General features: G+C 40.4%; 2 protein-coding genes across 5 annotated transcripts in view, besides 6 other annotated features; one reads left to right on the forward strand and one right to left on the reverse strand.

Annotated features, from left to right (window-relative positions):
* The window catches only part of RABL3 (RAB, member of RAS oncogene family like 3), a 57,743-nt gene extending 40,309 nt beyond the window's left edge, over positions 1-17,434 (reverse strand). For 2 of the 4 annotated variants that reach the window (NM_001363964.1, NM_001363965.1), the window contains exons 1-2: positions 17,216-17,434; positions 5,450-5,541 (exon numbers count right to left, since the gene is read on the reverse strand). In NM_001363964.1, coding sequence (NP_001350893.1) covers positions 5,450-5,541; positions 17,216-17,261 — 138 coding nt within the window. In that variant the 5' untranslated portion in view covers positions 17,262-17,434. Of the gene's footprint in view, positions 1-5,449; positions 5,542-13,280; positions 13,422-17,215 lie in introns of all 4 variants that reach the window. The other 2 variants (NR_157022.1, NM_173825.5) reach the window with 2 other exon arrangements.
* Positions 16,531-17,169: an enhancer, noted in NCBI's record as "H3K27ac hESC enhancer chr3:120460624-120461262 (GRCh37/hg19 assembly coordinates)". NCBI's record gives its function as "activates a minimal SCP1, AML or CMV promoter by ChIP-STARR-seq in primed H9 embryonic stem cells {active_cell/tissue: H9 hESC(primed)}" and the evidence as "EXISTENCE:reporter gene assay evidence [ECO:0000049][PMID:30033119]".
* Positions 16,531-17,808: a biological region, named in NCBI's record as "NANOG-H3K27ac-H3K4me1 hESC enhancer GRCh37_chr3:120461263-120461901".
* Positions 17,001-17,290: an enhancer, noted in NCBI's record as "active region_20337". NCBI's record gives its function as "activates an Ori minimal core promoter by ATAC-STARR-seq in GM12878 lymphoblastoid cells {active_cell/tissue: GM12878}" and the evidence as "EXISTENCE:reporter gene assay evidence [ECO:0000049][PMID:35858748]".
* Positions 17,170-17,808: an enhancer, noted in NCBI's record as "NANOG-H3K27ac-H3K4me1 hESC enhancer chr3:120461263-120461901 (GRCh37/hg19 assembly coordinates)". NCBI's record gives its function as "activates a minimal SCP1, AML or CMV promoter by ChIP-STARR-seq in naive and primed H9 embryonic stem cells {active_cell/tissue: H9 hESC(naive and primed)}" and the evidence as "EXISTENCE:reporter gene assay evidence [ECO:0000049][PMID:30033119]".
* Positions 17,256-17,550: an enhancer, noted in NCBI's record as "tiled region #5916; HepG2 Activating DNase unmatched - State 1:Tss, and K562 Activating DNase unmatched - State 1:Tss". NCBI's record gives its function as "activates a minimal TATA promoter and a strong SV40 promoter by Sharpr-MPRA in HepG2 and K562 cells {active_cell/tissue: HepG2 | K562}" and the evidence as "EXISTENCE:reporter gene assay evidence [ECO:0000049][PMID:27701403]".
* Positions 17,431-17,550: an enhancer, noted in NCBI's record as "active region_20338". NCBI's record gives its function as "activates an Ori minimal core promoter by ATAC-STARR-seq in GM12878 lymphoblastoid cells {active_cell/tissue: GM12878}" and the evidence as "EXISTENCE:reporter gene assay evidence [ECO:0000049][PMID:35858748]".
* GTF2E1 (general transcription factor IIE subunit 1) overlaps positions 17,498-23,371 on the forward strand; it is a 40,326-nt gene continuing 34,452 nt past the window's right edge. The window contains exon 1 of the mRNA NM_005513.3: positions 17,498-17,548. The gene's annotated coding sequence lies outside the window, so the exon portion shown is untranslated. The remainder of the gene's footprint in view (positions 17,549-23,371) is intronic.

Genomic DNA, 23,371 nt, shown 5'->3' on the forward strand with positions numbered 1-23,371 from the left:
ATACCATTTCACTCCAATTAGAATGGCAATCATTAAAAAGTCAGGAAACAACAGGTGCTGGAGAGGATGTGGAGAAATAGGAACACTTCTACACTGTTGGTGGAACTGTAAACTAGTTCAACCATTGTGGAAGTCAGTGTGGTGATTCCTCAGGGATCTAGAACTAGAAATACCATTTGACCCAACCATCCCATTACTGCGTATATACCCAAAGGATTATAAATCATGCTGCTATAAAGACACATGCACACGTATGTTTACTGCAGCACTATTCACAATAGCAAAGACTTGGAACCAACCCAAATGTCCATCAATGGTAGAGTGGATTAAGAAAATGTGGCACATATACACCATGGAATACTATGTAGCCACAAAAAATGATGAGTTCATGTCCTTTGTAGGGACATGGATGAAGCTGGAAACCATCATTCTCAGCAAACTATCGCAAGGACAAAAAACCAAACACCACATGTTCTCACTCATAGGTGGGAATTGAACAATGAGAACACATGGACACAGGAAGGCGAACATCACACACTGGGGCCTATTGTGGGGAGGAGGGAGCGGGGAGGGATAGCATTAGGAGATATACCTAATGTTAAATTACGAGTTAATGGGTGCAGCACACCAACATGGCACATGTATACATATGTAACAAACCTGCACGTTGTGCACATGTACCCTAAAACTTAAAGTATAATAAAAAAATTAAAGAAAAAAACTAAATTAAAAAAATTTTTTAACATTTTTTTATGGAGGCGGGGGTCTCACCATGTTGCCCAGGCTGGTCTTTAACTTGGGCTCGGGTGATCCTCCCACCTGGCCTCCCAAAGCAGTGGAATTACAGGCATGAGCCACCATGTCTGGCCTACTCAACACCTCTGGGTAAAAGTTTTTCTGTCTCATAGAGAAGAGACTAGCAGTATTTCCTATTGCTTTTTCAAGACAGGTAGAATTTGCTTGCCCAAGGTAAGGTGCATTTTATAACAAGGGGTGGAGAACATATAAGCCTTTTGATTTCTGTTAAAAAAAAACCTCTTTATTTCAAATTTAATTTTGTTTGCTATCTGTGCTTTTATTCAAAAGAAGAGTTTAGGGCCCGGCATGGTGGCTTATGCCTCTAATCCCAGCACTTTGGGAGGCCAAGGTTGCAGGATTGCTTGAGCCTAGGAGTTGGAGACTAGGCTGGGGCAACACGGTGCAACCCCATCTGTATAAAACAAAAAAAGTCGGGCCAGGCACAGTGGCTCATGCCTGTAATCCCCGGCCAGAGTATCTTAGGTCAGGAGTTCGAGACCAGCCTAGCCAACATGGCAAAACCCCATCTCTATTAAAAGTACAAAAAAATTAGCCGGCCATGGTGGTGTTGTGCCTGTAATCCCATCTACTCAGGAGGCTGAGGGAGGAGAATCGCTTGAACCCGGGAGGCAGAGGTTGCAGTGAGCCAAGATCGTGCCACTGCACTCCAGCCGGAGCAACAGAGTGGGACTCCATCTCAAAAAAATAAATTAAATAAATAAATAAATAAATAAAACAATAAAAAAAACTGGACATGGAGCAAATCTCAACAAATTTCAAAGGATGAAAGCATACAGTGTATGTTCTCTAAGCACAATGAAAGATAACTGAAATCAATCATTAAAAGATAATAAACATTGTCAAATGTTTGGAAATTGAGAAGCATATTCTACACAACCCATGAGTCAAAGAAAAAATTGCAATGGAAACTAGACAATAGTTTGAACTGAATAATAATGAAAAAAATTTTAGGAATGCAGTTAACGCTGTGCTTAGATAGAAATTTTAGAGTCTTAGAGCTCTAAAAAAAAGTCTGAAAAAAATTAAGCAATTACTGATGTCAACAAGTTAGAAAGAAGACACTAAATTAAACCCAAAGAAAGTATGTTCATAAAGATAAGAGCAGAAACTAACAATGCACAAAACAAACATACAATAGAGAAAATCAACAAGGCAGAAACTGGTCTTTGATGGACCTCTGGTAAGACTGATCAAGAAAGTAAGAGAAAAGCCACAAATCATTCTACCAGAAATGAAAAAGGGAATATTGTTCAATTATCTTATTGAAAAACAGTAAGACGGAAAAAATTTTTTTGTGTCAATTTACATAAAATTCTTTCAAAAACATAAACTACCAAAATTGACACAAGAAGGAATATAGTTATTTTATTATTTTCTTTAATGTTACTTAAAAACTTCCCGCAAAGAAAAACTTAGGTCCAGATGGTTTCACCTGTGAATTCTTTCAAATATCTAAGAAAAAAAAAATACCAATCTTAAATAAAATCTTTCAGAGAACAGATACAGAAATTAATACTTCCCAACTTATTTTATAAGGTTAGCATAAGCCTGATAGAAAACCCACAATGAGATTACAAGAAAAGAAAATGATGGGACAATCTTTCCAATGAATTTAGATGCAAATGTCTAAGAAAAATATTAGCAAATTAAATCTAGTGATATATGAAAAGAGCAGCACAAGACCAAGTTAGAGTTATTACAGGATTGCAAGGTTGGTTTAACATTCAAAAAATTAATCAACATAATTTACCACAGTAATGGAATAAATCAGAAAAATCATGATTATCATGAAGAGGCAACTGGTAAAATTGAATATCCATTCATGATACAAACTCTCATTGTAATAGGAATAGAAGGACATTTCTTTAATCTAATCAAATATACCCATAAAAAATCCTCCAGCAAATACTTTACTAAATAGTGTTATACTGAAAATTTCCCATGAGATGGGAATGAAACAAAGATGCTTGTTGGTGCCACTTCTATTCAACATTGTACTGGAGTTTCAGCTAATTCAATAAGACAAGTGGGAAAGAAAACCAAGACAAAAGGTGAACAACATGAATAGAATGGGCACTGGGTGGGGATAGGAAAAGGAGTAGGGCAGGAGGAAGGGAAGGGGCAGAAAATTGGACTAAAGTTCAATTACAACTTCACATTGTAAAGGACTAGACCATAACTTCCCATTTATTAAGCTTCTCTGATCCTTCCTACAAACCTGTAGACTCAATAAAGCACATATTATTGACCTCTGTTTTCCAGATGATATAACCATGCCTCAAAGAGGTAAACTGATTAGTCTAAGGTCACTCTTTCAGAAGCGAAGGGCAATTGACTCAGGAGGTGAGTGTTTAAATCTAAGTTTCTTTTCAATATGTCATGCTCTTTCACAGAATCGGAGCTAGAAAAATCCAAAGGGAAAATTTGTCCAGAACTTGCTATTGGGTCTCCCAAACCTAAATAAAGTTGCCACTGAATTTAGGAAGATGGTTGGCTAAAATGACACAAAATAGCATTAGGAGATATACCTAATGCTAAATGACGAGTTAATGGGTGCAGCACACTAGCATGGCACATGTATACATTTGTAACTAACCTGCACATTGTGCACATGTACCCTAAAACTTAAAGTATAATAATAATAAACAAAAAAGAAAAAAAAATGACACAAAATAGGTCCGCTCCTACTTCAAACTTATAGAAATGCTATAAAAATATTTTGAGACAGAGAGAAAGAGTACAGAGAGGAGAGGCAGAGAAGACTAGCTCAAGAGAAAGTTAGGAGAAAGAAAGGAATATCCCCAAATGCTAGAAATGAAGAAAAAACTTAAAATCAGAGTGAGAAGTGGGAACTGACATAGATTCAGATATAGCTTCAGGGGTTGGTGCCTGGAGTCTTAATGCCCATTCAGGAATAGCAGACCTGTTTTCCAGCATTCAAGGCAAAAGTATATGTGAGTGAGTGATGAAGACTAGACTATAGATGCCTTTTTGAAATCCGGACCTTTGATGAGGTGCCCAGTCAGTGAAAAGAGAGAAGACAAGACAAGAAAAACATTGTCCATAGGCTCAGGGAAACGGCAAAAACTTTCTGTCAGGGACCTCAGACAGAAGGTAGACAGAAGATAAATAGTCCACAAGAAATGGAAACTATAGGTCTGTGCTACAATCAGATGCTGGAGGAATTTACATTATCTAGATTTACATTATCTGAGCTGAGAAATTGAAATCCTTACGGTCTTGGCAATGACAGAAATGAAAAGGCGCTGTATAGGGATACTTTCACAATACAGCATACAGGACTTCCAAAGGGAGAGGAAAAAAATCCTGTTGAAGATGTGATCATCTTAAAGAATTACAAGCCATACAAGGAGATACATTTCCATGAAGTAGAGTAGCATATACAGCAAGGAGCATAGCTACCTCTCCTCCAGAAAAAATAAAATAATCCAAAAGAAACCATAAAATAAGTATGTTGGAAATTATTAAAATAAAAAGCAGACACCATAATGAAGGATCAGGACATTTTGGAAAATTTTTACATTTTAAAAAGAACTAAAAGGAACATCTAGAAATTAAAAAGTATAGGTACTTGGAATGAAAAACTGTATAGATATATTAAAAAGCAGATTAGATATAATTGAAGAGATTCTTAGTTAACTGGAAGGCAGATATGAGTACATCATCCAGAAGGCAGCAAGGAGAAATATTAACAGTTATGAAGAACAAAAATCTCATAGAAAGTCAAGAGGAAGGGATAGAAGAAATGAGGCAAGACAGATAATGGCTTAAAATTCTGAAAAATAAAGAGATGAGAACCATGACTACTTCTGAATAGGATGAATAAAAACAAATCTACACCTAGACATAGGTTAGCAAAACAACAAAATATCAAAGATTAAAAAAAAACACAAAAAATATTTTAAAAGCAACCAAAGAAGAAATTACATTAAAAAGAAATAATAATTAGTCTTACGGAAGATTTCTAATCAGCAGCAATGTAAATCAGAGCTATGGAACAATAGCTTCAAAGAACAGAAGGAAAATAACTATCAATCTAGCCAACTACCTTGCCTTCCGTATGTGTGTCTTAACTCAAAGGAGAGAGGTGTGCCAGCAGATGAGAGACTTGTCAGAACTAGCTGGCATTAGCAAAGACCAATGATATCTGGGAAGATATTTAATTTAATTAAAACTATACCTAATTCCTAAACACAAGATGGAACAAATGACCCAGACATGAAGCTCCAGGAGCTTTTGCCTTTACATTATATTTCTAGCTGAAAGTTGGCAGTCTTAATAGCACAAGCTTAGGCAGAATTATTTACGGAGGATGCTATGTGAACTCTAGATATATGGCATAGTGATTAAAACTGAAGTCTGTGGCATCAGAAAAACTGTTCAAATCTTGACTCTGCCTTAGTTTCTGCATCTACACATCTCAGTTTTAAAAAGGTGAAATAAGAAGGGACATGTAAAGCAACTGGCATAGTACCTGGCACATAGTATGAATGTAATAAATCCCAGCTATTACTATTGATCTTGACCATAGTACTGTAATTTGATCATGTAATTTGAAGCAGTTATCTTTAGTACATTATTGAAAAACTAAAATATAAAAGACACATACTCTGACATCCACTGAGCAGCCCACAGTCCATGATGGATTTCCCAGCACTTGATTTTGGCATAGGAGATGGACTAACGAAGATTTCCCAACACCTGTAAGAGATACAAGAACTCTAGTCACATAAGAGACAAGGCTGAAATCTGTTTTGGAAAGAGTAAGACTAATACTACACAGGAATAATGTTAAGTAAAGCATAGTTGTTAGAATGCCATACCAACAATATAAGCTTCACTGAATAAAATGAAGATGGTAGAGGGCAGCGGTTCTCTCAAATTTGCATCAGAATCACCCGGAGGGTGAGTTAAAACATGGAATGCTGGGCTCCACCCCCAGACTTTCTGATTTAGCGGGTCTGTCTTGGGGCCCAAGATTTCTAACAAGTTCCCAAGTGATACTGATACTGGTCCAGGGGTCTCACTTTGAGAACCACTGGTCCAGGTCAATTTCATATTAATGAATCCCTTTCCTTTTGAATGATTTAATCAATTTAGCCTATTTTAGAGTTGTAGAATCTTAACAGATCTGAGAAGTAATCCCTCTCTCCTGCACACCAATGCTGAGGTCCCCTCCATGGCATCCTGTTAGAGGGTCTTCCAGACTGTGCTTGAATACTGTCAGTGAGAGGGATTCACCATTTCACAATTCTAAATTTAGACACTCCAGTTGTCCCACATAGTGATTTAAAAAAAGCAGCCAACCACTTAGCCAAGACTTACCTTTTGGAAAAAAGGTCTACTACCTCTTCTACATCATGGCCCTTTAAGTCACCATTTGGTCTTCTTTTAGATTTCTTAGGCTCAGGGAAATCTAGTTATTCATTCTAAGGGTAGCATTGAGAGATTTGTATGAAGAGGAAAGGGAATGAGCTCTTCCTCTACATCCATGTGTGGAGTCACTCATTCATTTAACGGCATTTTTGGGGTTCCATTATGACAAGCATGGTTGGTATCTTTACAAATCACTAGTTTTATCAAAAATTTAGATCATCTCTTTGATCATACTGTGTAGGAACCTATTGTTTATTTTTTATTATAAAAAGTTATATTTACAATCTAGAAAGTATGCACAAATGAGGGCCAGGCACGGTGGCTCACGTCTGTACTCCCAGTGCTTTGGGAGGCTGAGGCAGGAGGATCACTTGAGCCCAGGAGTTTGCGACCAGCCTGGGCAACATAGCAAGACTGCATCTCTACAAAAAATAAATTTTAAAGAAATTAGCCAGGCATGGTGGCCTGCGTCTGTAGTCCTAGCTACTCAGCAGGCTGAGGCAGGATGATCCCTTGAGCTCAGGAGTTGGAGGCTGCAGTGAGCTATGATCACACTGCTGTACTCTAGCCTGGGTGACAGAGCGAGACACTGTCTACAAAAAAAAATCACCTTAAGACTACTGTCAACATGAAGGTTTATTTAATTCCACAAGAAAAGTTTTTCTATGAGCAGGTGGTTATTGTGATTATATACACAGTATACTTAAAAACAATAAAACAACATAAGCGTCTGCTTCCATAGCTTGTTCTGTCTGGAATATCCTACCCATCCTCTCCCTTCCCTCACCCATTGGCCTGGTGAATTAATCTTTGGAGAGTCAGCATCATTCTAGTTATAAAGTATTTTCTGAACCCACATAGGGAGAACTAAGCATAGCATCCACTATTCTCTGGGCCTCCACTGTACCCTGTACATTTTCCTAGAGAGCACTTAAAACACATTATTACATGTGTTTATTTATAGGTTTTATTAACTTTGATTTTTTTTGATTGGATGTTGGATTTTTATTCATCTTAAAAAAATGATGCCATCTGTTGATTTATTTGCAGTGGAGAAGAATGCCCTGTATAAAGAAATATGTTTTATTTTATTTATTTATTTGTTTATTTTATTATTATACTTTAAGTTCTAGGGTACATGTGCACAATGTGCAGCTTTGTTACATATGTATACATGCACCATGTTGGTGTGCTGCACCCATTAACTCGTCATTTACACTAGGTATGTCTCCCAGTGCTATCCCTCCCCCCTCCCCCTACCCCACAACAGGCCCTGGTGTGTGATGTTCCCTTCCTGTGTCCAAGTGTTCTCATTGTTCAATTCCCACCTATGAGTGAGAACAAGTGGTGTTTGGTTTTTTGTCCTTGCGATAGTTTGCTCAGAATGATGGTTTCCAGCTTCATCCATGTCCCTGCAAAGGACATGAACTCATCATTTTTTATGGCTGCATAGTATTCCATGGTGTATATGTGTCACATTTTCTTAATCCAGTCTATCATTGATGGACATTTGGGTTGGTTCCAAGTCTTTGCTATTGTGAATAGTGCTGCAGTAAACATACGTGTGCATGTGTCTTTATAGCAGCATGATTTATAGTCCTTTGGGTATATACCCAGTAACGGGATGGCCGGGTCAAATGGTATTTCTAGCTCTAGATCCTTGAGAAATCGCCCCACTCTCTTCCACAATGGATGAACTAGTTTACAGTTCCACCAACAGTGTAGAAGCGTTCCTATTTCTCCACATCCTCTCCAGCACCTGTTTTTTCATGACTTTTTAATGATCGCCATTCTAACTGGAGTGAAATGGTACCTCATTGTGGTTTTGATTTGCATTTCTCTGATGGCCAGTGATGATGAGCATTTTTTCATGTGTCTTTTGGCTGCATAAATGTCTTCTTTTGAGAAGTGTCTGTTTATGTCCTTCGCCCACGTGTTGATGGGGTTGTTTTTTTCTTGTAAATTTGTTGGAGTTCATTGTAGATTCTGGATATTAGCCCTTTGTCAGATGAGTAGATTGCAAACATTTTCTCCCATTCTGTAGGTTGCCTGTTCACTCTGATGGTAGTTTCTTTTGCTGTGCAGAAGCTAGTTTAATTAGATCCCATTTGTCAATTTTGGCTTTTGTTGCCATTGCTTTTGGTGTTTTAGACATGAAGTCCTTGCCCATGCCTATGTCCGGAATGGTATTGCCTAGGTTTTCTTCTAGGGTTTTTATGGTTTTAGGTCTAACGTTTAAGTCTTTAATCCATCTTGAATTAATTTTTGTATAAGGTGTAAGGAAGGGATCCAGTTTCAGCTTTCTACATATGGCTAGCCAGTTTTCCCAGCACCACTTATTAAATAGGGAATCCTTTCCCCATTGCTTGTTTTTCTCAGGTTTGTCAAAGATTAGATGGTTGTAGATGTGTAGATGTGTAGGGCTCTGTTCTGTTCCATTGGTCTATATCTCTGTTTTGGTACCAGTACCATGCTGTTTTGGTTACTACAGCCTTGTAGTGTAGTTTGAAGTCAGGTAGCGTGATGCCTCCAGCTTTGTTCTTTTAGCTTAGGATTGTCTTCGAAATGTGGGCGCTTTTTTGGTTCCACGTGAACTTTAGTTTTTTCCAATTCTGTGAATAAGGTCATTGGTAGCTTGATGGGGATGGCATTGAATCTATAAATTACCTTGGGCAGTATGGCCATTTTCATGATATTGATTCTTCCTACCCATGAGCATGGAATGTTCTTCCAATTATTTGTGTCCTCTTTTACTTCGTTGAGCAGTGGTTTGTAATTCTCCTTGAAGAGGTCCTTCACATCCCTTGTAAGTTGGATTCCTAGGTATTTTATTCTCTTTGAAGCAATTGTGAATGGGGAGTTCACTCATGATTTGGCTGTTTGTCTGTTATTGGTGTATAAGAATGCTTGTGATTTTTGCACATTGATTTTGTATCCTGAGACTTTGCTGAAGTAGCTTATCAGCTTACGGAGATTTTGGGCTGAGACGATGGGGTTTTCTGGATATACTATCATGTCATCTGCAAACAGAGACAATTTGACTTCCTCTTTTCCTAATTGAATACCCTTTATTTCCTTCTCCTGCCTGATTGCCCTGGCCAGAACTTCCAACACTATGTTGAATAGGAGTGGTGAGAGAGGGCATCCTTGTCTTGTGCCAGTTTTCAAAGTGAATGCTTCCAGTTTTTGCCCATTCAGTATCATACTGGCTGTGGGTTTGCCATAAATAGCTCTTATTATTTTGAGATATGTCCCATCAATACCTAATTTATTGAGAGTTTTTAGCACAAAGGGCTGTAGAATTTTGTCAAAGACCTTTTCTGCATCTATTGAGATAATCATGTGGTTTTTGTCTTTGGTTCTGTTTATATGCTGGATTATATTTATTGATTTGCACATGTTGAACCAGCCTTGCATCCCAGGGATGAAGCCCACTTGATCATGGTAGATAAGCTTTTTGATGTGCTGCTGGATTCGGTTTGCCAGTATTTTATTGAGGATTTTTGCATTGATGTTCATCAGGGATATTGGTCTAAAATTCTCTTTTTTTGTTGTGTCTCTGCCAGGCTTTGGTATCAGGATGATGCTGGCCTCGTAAAATGAGTTAGGGAGGGTTCCCTCTTTTTCCGTTGATTGGAATAGTTTCAGAAGGAATGGTACCAGCTCCTCCTTGTACCTCTGGTAGAATTCAGCTTTGAATCCATCTGGTCCTGGACTTTTTTTGGTTGGTAGGCTATTAATTATTGCCTCAATTTCCAAGCCTGTTATTGGTCTATTCAGAGATTCAACTTCTTCCTGGTTTAGTCTTGGGAGGGTGTATGTGTCCAGGAATTTATCCATTTCTTCTAGATTTTTTAGTTTATTTGCGTAGAGGTGTTTTTAGTATTCTCTGATGGTAGTTTGTATTTCTGTGGGATCGGTGGTGATATCCCCTTTATCATTTTTTATTGCGTCTGTTTGATTCTTCTGTCTTGTCTTCTTTATTAGTCTTGCTAGTGGTCTATCAATTTTGTTGATCTTTTCAAAAAACCAGCTCCTGGATTCATTGATTTTTTGAAGGGTTTTTTGTGTCTCTATGTCCTTCAGTTCTGCTCTGATCTTAGTTATTTCTTGCCTTCTGCTAGCTTTTGAATGTGTTTGCTCTTGCTTCTCTAGTTCTTTTAATTGTGATGTTAGGGTGTCAGTTTTAGATCTTTCCTGCTTTCTCTTGTGGGCATTTAGTGCTATAAATTTCCCTCTACACACTGCTTTAAATGTGTCCCAGAGATTCTGGTATGCTGTGTCTTTGTTCCCATTGGTTTCAAAGAACATCTTCATTTCTGCCTTCATTTCATTATGTACCCAGTAGTCATTCAGGAGTAGGTTGTTCAGTTTCCATGCAGTTGAGCGGTTTTGAGTGAGTTTCTCAATCCTGAGTTCTAGTTTGACAGCACTGTGGTCTGAGAGACAGTTTGTTACAACTACTGTTCTTTTACATTTACTGAGGATTGCTTTATTCCAACTGTGTGGTCAGTTTTGCAATAAGTGTGATGTGGTGCTGAGAAGAATGTATATTCTGTTGATTTGGGATGGAGAGTTCTGTAGAGGTCTATTAGGTCCGCTTGGTGCAGAGGTGAGTTCAATTCCTGGATATGCTTGTTAACTTTCTGTCTTGTTGATCTGTCTAATGTTGACAGTGGGGTGTTAAAGTCTCCCATTTTTATTGCGTGGGAGTCTAAGTGTCTTTGTAGGTCTCCAAGGACTTGCTTTATGAATCTGGGTGCTCCTGTATTGGGTGCATATATGTTTAGGATAGTTAGCTGTTCTTGTTGAATTGATCCCTTTACCATTATGTAATGGCCTTCTTTGTCTCTTTTGATCTTTGTTGTTTAAAGTCTGTTTTATCAGAAACTAGGATTGCAAACCCTGCCTTTTTTTGTTTTCCATTTGCTTGGTAGATCTTCCTCCATCCCTTTATTTTGAGCCTATGTGTGTCTCTGTACATGAGCTGGGTCTCCTGAATACAGCACACTGATGGGTCTTGACAATTTGCCAGTCTGTCTTTTAATTGGAGCATTTAGCCCACTTACATTTAAGGTTAATATTGTTATGTGTGAATTTGATCCTGTCATCATGATGTTAGCTGGTTATTTTGCTCATTAGTTGATGCAGTTTCTTCCTAGCCTCAATGGTCTTTACAATTTGGCATGTTTTTGCAGTGGCTGGTACCAGTTGTTCCTTTCCATGTTTAGTGCTTCCTTCAGGAGCTCTTTTAGGGCAGGCCTGGTGGTGACAAAATCTCTCAGCATTTGCTTGTCTGTCAAGTATTTTATTTCTCCTTCATTTATGAAGCTTAGTTTGGCTGGATATGAAATTCTGGGTTGAAAATTCTTTTCTTTAAGAATGTTGAATATTGGTCCTCACTCTCTTCTGGTTTGTAGAGTTTCTGCTGAGAGATACGCTGATGGGCTTCCCTTTGTGGGTAACCTGACTTTTCTCTCTGGCTGCCCTTAACATTTTTTCCTTCATTTCAACTTTGGTGAATCTGACAATTACATGTCTTGGAGTTGCTCCTCTTGAGGAGTATCTTTGTGGCGTTCTCTGTATTTCCTGAATTTGAATGTTGGCCTGCCTTGCTACGTTGGGGAACTTCTCCTGGATAATATCCTGCAGAGTGTTTTCCAACTTGGTTCCATTCTCCCTGTCACTTTCAGGTACACCAATCAGACATAGATTTGGTATTTGCACATAGTCCCATATTTCTTGGAGCCTTTGTTCGTTCTTTTTACTCTTTTTTCTCTAAACTTCTCTTCTCACTTAATTTCATACATTTGATCTTCCATCACTGATACCCTTTCTTCCAGTTGATCAAATCGGCTACTGAAGCTTGTGCATCATCACGTAGTTCTTGTGCCATGGTTTTCAGCTCCAACAGGTCATTTAAGGACTTCTCTACATTGGTTATTCTAGTTAGCCATTCAGCTAATCTTTTTTCAAGGTTTTTAGCTTCTTTGCAATGGGTTTGAACTTCGTCCTTTAGCTCGGAGAAGTTTGATCATCTGAAGACTTCTTCTCTCAACTTGTGAAAGTCATTCTCCATCCAGCTTTGTTCCTTTGCTGGCGAGGAGCTGCGTTTCTTTGCAGGGGGAGAGGTGCTCTGATTTTTAGACTTTTCAGCTTTTCTGCTCTGTTTTTTCCCCATCTTTGTGGTTTTATCTACCTTTGGTCTTTGATGATGGAGTCGGACAGATGGGGTTTTGTTGTGGATGTCCTTTCTGTTTGTCAGTTTTCCTTCTAACAGTCAGGACCCTCAGCTGCAGGTCTGTTGGATTTTGATGGAGGTCCGCTCCAGACCCTGTTTGCCTGGGCATCAGCAGCAGAGGTGGCAGAACAGCGAATATTGCTGAACAGCAAATGTTGCTGCCTGATCATTCATTCCTCTGGAAGCTTTTTCTCAGCGGGGTACTGGGCCATGTGAGGTGTCAGTCTGCCCCTACTGGAGGGTGCCTCCCAGTTAGGCTACTCGGGGGTCAGGGACCCACTTGAGGGGGCAATCTGTCTGTTCTCAAACTCTGTGCTGGGAGAACCACTACTCACTTCAAAGCTGTCCGACAGGGACATTTAAGTCTGCAGAGGTTTCAGGCTATGCCCTGCCCTCCGAGGTGGAGTCTACAGAGGCACACAGGCCTCCTTGAGCTGCGGTGGGCTCCACCCAGTTCGAGCTTCCTGGCCTCTTTGTTTACTTACTCAAGCTTCATCAATGGCGGGCGCCCCTCCCCCAGCCTCACTGCCACCTTGCAGATCTCAGACTGCTGTGCTAGCAATGAGCAAGGCTCCGTGGGTGTGGCACCCTCTGAGCCAGGTCAGAGATATAATCTCCTGGTGTGCTGTTTGCTAAGACCATTGGAAAAGCACAGTATTAGGGTGGGAGGGACCCAATTTTCCAGGTGCTGTCTGTCACCGCTTCCCTTGGCTAGGAAAGGGAATTCCCTGACTCCTTGCGCTTCTTTGGCTCACACACAGTGGGCTGCACCCACTGTCCTGCCCCCACGGTCTGACAAGCCCCAGTGAAATGAACTTGGTACCTCGTTGGAAATGCAGAAATCACCTGTCTTCTGCGTCGCTCACGCTGGGAGCTGTAGACTGGAGCTGTTCCTAATTGGTCATCTTGGAACCACTCCCTTAATTTTAAGTTCCTTGAGGGTTCTTACGCAGCTTTTTTATCTCTAGTATTTAGATCAGAACCTTAATTAGTATTTATTAAAAGTTTCCATATTATTCCAAAATCTTCATAAACATTTAAAGTATCTCCATAGTACTTCAGAAAGTAGGCATAAAAATTTACTTAATCATTCTTCCATTATTATTAGATATTTAGGGTGTTTTGAAATTTTTGATATGCTAGTGAAAGGTTATTTCTGTTTAAACCTTTGTTTAAAATTAAAATTATGTCCTTAGTATACCTTCCCAGGAGTAAACTCAGTACTTAAAAGGAAACATTTAAAGTTCTTGATATGCATTGAGAAATAACTTTCATGGGGTTATACTGCCACCAGCCATACACTTGAGCCTGCAGGTCTTGTTGCACCTCAACAGTATCATGTAGTTGGCTTTTCATCCTTGTTAACCTGATAAAGGAATAAAAGTGACATCTTGGCCAGGTGCGTTGGCTCACACCTGTAATCCCAGCACTTTGGGAGGCTGAGGCAGGCAGATCACGAGGTCAGGAGTTCGAGACCAGCCTGGCCAAAATGGTGAAACCCTGTCTCTACTAAAAATACAAAAATTAGCTGGGCGTGGTGGTGGGTGCCTGTAATCCCAGCTACTTGGGAGGCTGAGGCAAGAGAATCACTTGAACCCAGGAGGCAGAGGCTGCAGTGAGCCGAGATTGCGCCACTGCACTCCAGCCTGGGTGACAGAGCAACAATCCGTCTCGGTGGTGGCGGGCAGTGGGGGAGTGACAGCTTGCTTTAGTCTGCATTTCTTTACTTTCTGATAAAGATCAAAGATTATCATTATGATTATTCTGGCAAATCAGTTGTTTTTCCTCTCATAAATTCTCTGTTGATCTACTCTGTACCTTTATCTACCAGGTTTTAGTGTCATTAATTTATATGAGCTCTTTATCTATTAAATATATTAATCATTTTACGTATGTGTAATTGAATCAAACATTTTCTCAGGCTTCCCTTTTATTACTTTTTTTATATAGAAACATTTAAGATTTTTAAATACTCAAAATTATATTTGTCATTGAATTTACTGCATTGTGTCTAATATCTGTAACTTTTAGGATGTATTGTTGATTCTGTATTTGTAAATAGGTTTGTTTATGTTCAAGGAATGTATCTATCCACTTAATTATCAGCTTGATGCAACACTTGAGGCCTAGTTTAGCTTAATTGTGTTAGGGTAAACATTTCCAGGCAGTAGAATTGTATAGCTCTCCATGAATTAACTGCTTTGGGTGATAAGTATTAGCTAAGAAGGGATGAAACCCTAAACAGTAAGAACAGTTGAAGTGCTAGGGAATAATGGCGAATTTCATTTCTTTAAGAATTTTGGGAGATTCTGATTCTATGTTTTCACCTTTAGAACTAAATTTGATCAAAAGAATGCACTTGATTTGCTTGGGGGTAAAAAAGGCCCAATATAAATAAATGTCAGCTCCAAATACAGCTGTTTGGTAATATGTTAAACTAGTCCCTAATCTCTGAAAGAAAGAGAAAACCGTATGGTAGTGAGACTTTCAGGGTTCCTTACCAAATTACCAAATATCTCAATAGGATAAAAACAAATCACCAAATATCAACTTATTCTTTTTATTTTTTTTTCTTGGAGACAGGGTCTCACTCTATCACCCAGGCTAGAGTGCAGTGGCACGATCCTAGCTCACTGCAGCCTCAAATTCCTGGGCTCAAGTGATCTTCTCACCTCAGCCTCCTGAGTAGCGGGACTACAGGCGTGCACCACCATGCCCGGCTAACTTTCTGTACTGTTTTTGGTAGAGAGAGGGTCTTGCCATGTTGCCCAGGCTAGTCTTGAACTGAGCTCAAGCAATCCACCCGCCTCAACCTCCCAAAGTGCTGGGATTATAGGCTAGAGCCACCTTGTCTGGCTAAGTCATTTCTTTATATATTTGTGAAACCCTCAAAATTTTATAAGGGAAATGGCCTTTATTTAAAAATAAACTTTCGGGTTTGAAAGAAAGGCTGAGGAAGTGTAAAAAGTGCATTCTAAACTGTCAGACTGTGTACTTTTAAATCGCAGTTAAAAGGAGACTGACAAAATTACCTTTTAAAAAGATAAAAAGACAATAACTAACTTTGCACATAAAGGTTAACATTAGTGAATGTGTGACAACATCAATCACTTTCCTGGCCATCACAGCTGTGTCTTCTGCTTTACAACTAAACCATAACAGGGGAGGCGGGCAGTAGGGAAGCTTATCAATTGCCTGATTACTTTTCCACATTTAATGTAGCTGCTAATTCTATCCCTGTTATATGACGCATTAATTCCACAGTTATAACCCCAGAACCTAATACAGTGCCTGTTGGAAAGAAAATAAATTGACTAGTTGCAACAGTTTGTAATATGAAGGGATTGTTAGATACAATAGAAAATGGAATTATAAAGGACACAAAACACCCACTTAACGTATCATGAAGAAGTCTGTTAGTTCTGGATTGTAAATTCTACTCAGTGATACTCTTGCCAAGTCCCTTTAGGCCACAATTACTTTATCTGTAAAACTGAGTGATTTTATTAAATTAACTTCGGCACCACTTCAAGCTACCTGATAGAAATGAAGTCGACATAAATTGTGATTATGTTCATTAAGTTTCAAAAGGCAACTTTCTTAGGGGAATATTAAATAATGCTCTCTGTAAAATATTTCATAATGCAAATAATCCTCAGGGCAATGTGAAAACATTCTTAACCTATATTTGCTGCCCACAATTTTATTTAGTTTCTATTAAGTTTTCAAGCCTCTCCACCTCCAAGCATCTAGCACAACGTCTTTGCTCACAACACATGCTCTTAGGCCAACTCCAGAGGAGCGCTTCTATAAAATGCAAGGTCAGCATTTATTGAAGTTACTAAGGAGAGCTGAATTGGGGATTATGGAAGAAAAGATAAGGGCAGTGAGGTGGGAGCTGGAAATCCAGACGCCAGCTGTAGTTCTCAAATGTCCCAGGTGTCAAAAGAATTCTTTTTGCATCCACTGAGATTAAAAAAATATATATATATTTAACACTAGGATTAAATTGGGCTCAGCGTTAAATCCTAGCTGCTTCAGAATAAAACTCTTACTTTAATTTCTCTATTGTACAGTCTAGGACATAATAGGTTTTCAATGAAGATCAAACGAGAACCAGGAAATTAAGCTCAGTTAAGAATAAAACAGGACCACTACCCAATATGTCACTGCATAATTATAACTTAGCGTTTAAGTTCGTGGACTCCGCGTTCAAAAGGATTCTGTCATTTACATCTCTCTGCCTCACTACTCTCATCTGTAAAATGGGATAACAGGACTGTCTCAGAATTAAATGAGTTAATACATGCGAAGCGCTTGCCAGTGCACGTTTCTCAGTGCACGTTTCTCAGTGCACGTTTGACTTCCTTAATGAACAAAATCTCTTGAAGGCACGGTCCTACTAACTTCTGTACCCTTAACATAGAACCCCATACAATACTCAATGCCTGCTTTTTTTTTTTTTTTTTTTAATAAAAGAATTGACAATACACTCTAGGCTGGGGTCGCCTGGGAGACCGATGCGGAAAGCCGCGAAGGCAAAAGACCCGGGCTCCGCGACCCCCACCCGCGCGACGACGCCGCCGCCACCGCGTCGTCACACGGAGCAAAGTCCCCTGGGAAGTGTAGTCTTCAGGCCCTGGGAGGGACTTCAGCCACGGGCCGAGGAGCCAGGAAGTTGAGGGAAGGAAGCTAAGGGGAGGGTTACTGGGTAACTCAAAAGTGTCTGGAGCCCCAGAGGTAGGGTAAGCCGCTCACCTGAGTCTCCCAACACCAGTACCTTCACCCGATCCAGGGACGCCATCTTGCCACTGCCTTCCCTGGGTTAACGCCTGTTCCTGGATTGTAAGCCAATCAGAGTTGGGCATGGAGGGCAGAGCCTTCAATTTCATTGGCCACTCGGAGCGTGACTGTCTTGATCGAAGGTTTCACTGAACTCATTGGCTGGTCTGGTAAAAGGTAGCGGGGTGCTTCCCCAGCTGGTCGCAGGAATAGTGCGTTTTCTTTGTCGCGCAAGGGGCGTGGTTCATTTAAGCCGGTAGTTGAAGCGCTGGGGGCAGCTGTAGTGGGAGTGTTCCAGGATTCGCCTTGGTAAACCTTGTTCCCTGTTCCTTGTTCGGAGTTCCCTGGCCGGGCATTGCATTTCATGATTTCTTCTTCCTTTCGCTCCCTCTTAACTATCCTCCCCTAATGAATTACCCTGTTGCCTTGGTCCTCTTGGTCCTCCAAAGAACCATTGACCCCGGAGCGGCCCGTGTGCGACCTCGGGTAGGGCGGGCTTGGCTGCGCCGAGTGTGGCCCTGGACCCAACTGGGAGAGTCCGAGGGAGTTTGGGGTCTCGGAGTCTCGCATTGGGGAGGAGTGCATATCACCGAACGCGTCTCGTGGAGGGCAGCTGGGTCCGGAGGTTTCGCGGTAGTTTGCCGCTGTGTGTGTGAAGGCGTGGAAAGTGCCATGAAATGTGGTAACACAACACCGCAGTTAGATGTGTAGAATCCCAAGTTGTTCTAGAACTGGAGTGGCGATTTACTGAAGTAATCTAACTGGTCTCTTCGCATCCACTTTTCTTGTTTTTTTCTCCACTCTGCAGTCAGTACAATCTTTTAACATCCTGAATTTGATCCACGCACCTCCCGCTTAAAACTGTTTTAAATTTAAGAAGAGAGTGCCCAGTAGCCTGTCCGATTCTACCTTGGAAACAAGAGTGGAGGAAGTGAAGCAGGGGGAAGCTGGCAAGATGAGCCATGTTGGAACAAAACGTGCCTAGGAGACATATGGAAAGTTTTATGGAAGTACTTGTCTGGCTATGCTAGATGCTGGAAATTAATTGGTGAACAAGATGAAGTCTGGTCTTAGAGATAGACATGGAGAAAGTACAAGAAGGGGGAAAGAGCCATGGAACACGTGAAAGGGGATGATTGTATGCTACTTAATGGGGAGTCTGGGAAGGCCTCCATGAGGAAATATCATTTGAGACTTGAAGGATGATTAGGAGAAGGGGGTTTGGGCTTAGCTGTAGGGGCAGAAGGAACAGCATGTGCAAAGCCTTGGGATGCAGGGAAAGCACATGTGGCTCATGGAATTGAGAATATGCTGGTGTGGCTGGTTATGAGGCTGACAGGGTAGACAGAGGGCAGAGGGTGCCTTCTTTTCAACTTTGTTTCTCTGGCTCCGTGCCTGGTGCACAGTAGTCCTTAAATGTTGATATGATTAAAATACACGTGGGTCTGGGCTGGGGTAGGGAGGTGAGGCTGGGATCTGACTCATGGACTATGGAGATCAAAGGAAGAAACAAAGGTCCTAGGAGGTCCCACGCTCAGAAGTCTCCAGAGACCAGCCATACTCCTTCCCTAATAACGCCAGCTGCTATTCGGCTTCAGCTTATTGTTTCCATGTGGGAACATGGGCTCACTTTTTCCTCAGATATTTCCAATTTTGCAAGAGGAGCTGGAAGTTGAAATTTATGTGAACTCTTACAATTTTTAAATGTTGACAACTAATTCAGAAAATTTTTGAAACATTCTTTGGGTGATACAATGCGTGGGGGGCTGCCAGTTTGAGAACTCTTACCTAAGACCTCTAGAGATTGAGTAAGGAGATTCAGCGTGAGTGGGAAGTGATGGAGGAGAGAAGGTAGTGGTCAGGAAGGAGGATTTTAGAATGCAGAGATTTTGAACAAAGTGGCACAGCTTGATTTCATTCCTGAGCTCTAGTTTCATTTGTTCAGCTACCTGCTGGGCATATTCAGAGGAATATCCTATGGTATTTCCTCAAAGACACTTCTAAAAGTGATTTCCTCATTTCTTCCTGCTCCTCGTCAGGGGTCACCTATTTCTCATGGCAGTACTTTTCCTAGCTACGCTGGCTCAAAACAGAGAGCTATTTAAGATTTTTCCTACTCTCATATTCTGTATCCAATATATTTTGTTGGGTCCTTTTGATTTTTTTTTCTGTAATAACTTTCATTCATTCTGTTCTCTTCTTGCAATTTTTTTGCCTTCTTAGTTTAGATTTTATACCCCCAATATTCCACACTGCCTCCACCTTCACTCACTTGAGTCCGTTCCTCATATTGGTATAAGAGTCATTTTTCTAAATAGGGGATTTATTATGAATGCCAGTACTTAATTGAACTCTTATGCCAGCCCTGAAAGCAGAACACTTTGCATTAATTATCTCACTGAGTTCATACATTAACTGTGTGAGCAGGGCACCATTAATCACTTTTTTTTTTTTTGAGGGTCCTGTCCTGTCACCGAGGCTGGTGTGCAGTGGCTCAATCATGGCTCATTGCAGCCTTGACCTCCTGGCTCAATTGATCCACCTCAGCTGGTACTACAGGTGCATGGCACCATACCTGGCTAAGTTTTAAAATTTTTGTAGAGATGGGGTCTTACTATGTTTCCTAGGCTTGTCTTCAACTTCTGGGCTCTGACAGTCCCCCAACCTTGGCCTCCCAAAGTGTTGCAATTACAGGTATTAGCCACTGTAGCCACTGCACTTGGCTTAATCACTTTTTATATATGAAGAAACTGAGTCTGAGAATTTTCTGAGGTCAGGGGGCCTAAGAAATACTGGAACTGAGATTTAAACCCCAAAACTGTTGGATTGTAAAGTCCTCATATCACTCCCTTATTTTAGTCTTCACAGCTCCCTAGGGTGTTTTAGGCAAAGGAAACAGGCTGAGCAATAAGTGGCACAGGGACCTCTCCATGCAGGATGAGCATTGGCAGGATATATAATAGGGACTTTTGCTGCATAGTAGAGTCACCTAAAGAGCTTTAAAAATTTGTGTGATGCCTAATCTGGCTGCCCCAGACCACCTGAGACAAAACCTTTAGGAGTGGGGCCCAGGATCAGTATTCTTAAAACGTTCCCTAGATGATTCTGCCTTACAACCAGGCTTGAGAACTATTAGTCTGGGGCATGGCATGTATGGGGCAGGGAAGGAGAATACAATAGTAGGAAATAATCCTGGAAACAGGTTATGTTGACATTTTTCTGCTGTTCTTTGTTGAATGTTTCTGAAGCCATATGTTGTGTTCTGACAACTGTTGAGGATGTAAAACAACAAAAAATGAAAACGGGGTTCAAGTACAATGTATAGACCAAACCGAAAAGGAGAGAAAAGTGTGTCCAGTAGTATGCTGTGGTACTACTTTGGTGTCGAGCCCAGGTACTTCCCAGGCATCCTTAAGCCCTGGGGTAGCAGGAAGGCTCTAAGTTCACAGATTTGGATCTAGGTGCTACTTTGTTATATCTTACAATATGTAGTCATACCTGAGTATTTATAACCTAAAGTACGTATTTTCTTTTGACTGACTTTTACTTTTCCTTTATTACAGGAAGGGCCTTATATTTTCCCCCCAAAATATATGCATAGATTGGTTATAGATTGGTGTATAGAGTTTCCTTATAGTATGGTACTGTGGATATAAAAATATTTCTTATAAAAAGAGTATTAAATCTGTTGGGTTGATAACCACTGATTTCAAATAAAAGGGTTAGTTGAAACTAGTATTAATAACAGAATATGATTCTCCATTGAAATAGTTCAATGGGATGTCTCTCTTAAAAATTATCCTGTGGAGCCTGGCTAAGATGGTGAAACCCTGTCTCTACTAAAAATTCAAAAATTAGACAGGCGTGGTGGTGCATGCCTATAGTCCCAGCAACTCAGGAGGCTGAGGCAGGAGGATTGCTTGAACCTGTGAGGCAGAAGTTGCAGTGAGCCGAGCTTGCGCCACTGCACTCCAGCCTAGGTGACAGATCGAGACCCTGTCTCCAAAAAAAAAAAAAATTATCCTGTGGGCTGGGTGTGGTGGCTCACATCTGTAATCCCAGCACTTTAGGAAGCCCCCAAGGTAGGTGGATCCCTTGAGCCCAGAAGTTCGAGACCAGCCTGGGCAAAATGGTGAAACCCTGTCACTACAAAAAACACAAAAATTAGTCAGTCATGGTGGTGTCCACCCGTAGTCTCAGCTACTGGGGAGTTTGAGGTGGGAAGATTGCTTGAGCCCAGGAGGTTGAGACTGCACTGAGCCAAGTCACACCACCGAACTCTAGTCTGGACAACAGAGCAAGACACTCTCTCTATGAAAAGAAAAACAAATTCCCTGTGGCCTAGGGAAATTTAACTTGATTTAATCTGTGTGGATAGTCTAGCCATTTTTAGTTTGGAACATGTTAAGTTGATATGGAAGCTGTCCTTCCTAAGCACTTTAATTATATTCTTATTAATCACAACAACTCCACTGAGGTAGTTGATACTATCCTTACTTCTTAGCGAGTAAAAGGTGGCTTGAAATTGTTTAAGGGATTTGCTCAGGATTACACAGTTACCAAAACACAGGCTGTGTACTCTGAATTTCAAAGCCCAGTTTTGTGTTGTTTTGTTTTTTTGTTTTGTTTTTTTTTGAGACTGAGTTTCGCTCTTGTTGCCCAGGCTGGAGTGCAATGGTGTAATCTTGGCTCACAGCAACCTCCACCTCCCGAAGCCCAGGTTTTTATTTTATTTTATTTTATTTTTTATTTTTATTATTTTTATTTTATTATTATTATACTTTAAGTTTTAGGGTACATGTGCACAATGTGCAGGTTAGTTACATATGTATACATGTGCCATGTTGGTGTGCTGCACCCATTAACTCGTAATTTAACATTAGGTATATCTCCTAATGCTATCCCTCCCCGCTCCCTCCTCCCCACAATAGGCCCCAGTGTGTGATGTTCGCCTTCCTGTGTCCATGTGTTCTCATTGTTCAATTCCCACCTATGAGTGAGATATATGCGGTGTTTGGTTTTTTGTTCTTGCGATAGTTTACTGAGAATGATGGTTTCCAATTTCATCCATGTCCCTACAAAGGACATGAACTCATCCTTTTTTATGGCTGCATAGTATTCCATGGTGTATATGTGCCACATTTTTTAATCCAGTCTATCCTTGTTGGACATTTGGGTTGGTTCCCAGTCTTTGCTATTGTGAGTAGTCCCGCAGTAAACATACGTGTGCATGTGTCTCTATAACAGCATGATTTATAGTCCTTTGGGTATATACCCAGTAATGGGATGGCTGGGTCAAATGGTATTTCTAGTTCTAGATCCCTGAGGAATCGCCACACTGACTTCCACAAGGGTTGAACTAGTTTATAGTCCCAACAACAGTGTAAAAGTCTGTTCCTATTTCTCCACATCCTCTCCAGCACCTGTTGTTTCCTGACTTTTTAATGATTGCCATTCTAACTGGTGTGAGATGGTATCTCATTGTGGTTTTGATTTGCATTTCTCTGATGGCCAGTGATGGTGAGCATTTTTTCATGTGTTTTTTGGCTGCATAAATGTCTTCTTTTGAGAAGTGTCTGTTCATGTCCTTCGCCCACTTTTTGATGGGGTTGTTTGTTTTTTTCTTGTAAATTTGTTTGAGTTCGTTATAGATTCTGGTTATTAGCCCTTTGTCAGATGAAAAGGTTGCAAAAATTTTCTCCCATTCTGTAGGTTGCCTGTTCACTCTGATGGTAGTTTCTTTTGCTGTGCAGAAGCTCTTTAGTTTAATTAGATCCCATTTGTCAATTTTGGCTTTTGTTGCCATTGCTTTTGGTGTTTTAGACATGAAGTCCTTGCCCATGCCTATGTCCTGAATGGTAATGCCTAGGTTTTCTTCTAGGGTTTTTATGGTTTTAGGTCTAACATTTAAGTCTTTAACCCGTCTTGAATTAATTTTTGTAAAAGGTGTAAGGAAGGGATCCAGTTTCAGCTTTCTCCATGTGGCTAGCCAGTTTTCCCAGCACCATTTATTAAATAGGGAATCCTTTCCCCATTGCTTGTTTTTCTCAGGTTTGTCAAAGATCAGATAGTTGTAGATATGCAGCGTTATTTCTGAGGGCTCTGTTGTGTTCCATTGGTCTATATCTCTGT

The sequence above is a fragment of the Homo sapiens genome, chromosome 3 (assembly GCF_000001405.40).
Source record: "Homo sapiens chromosome 3, GRCh38.p14 Primary Assembly".
Taxonomy (NCBI): Eukaryota; Metazoa; Chordata; class Mammalia; order Primates; family Hominidae; genus Homo; species Homo sapiens.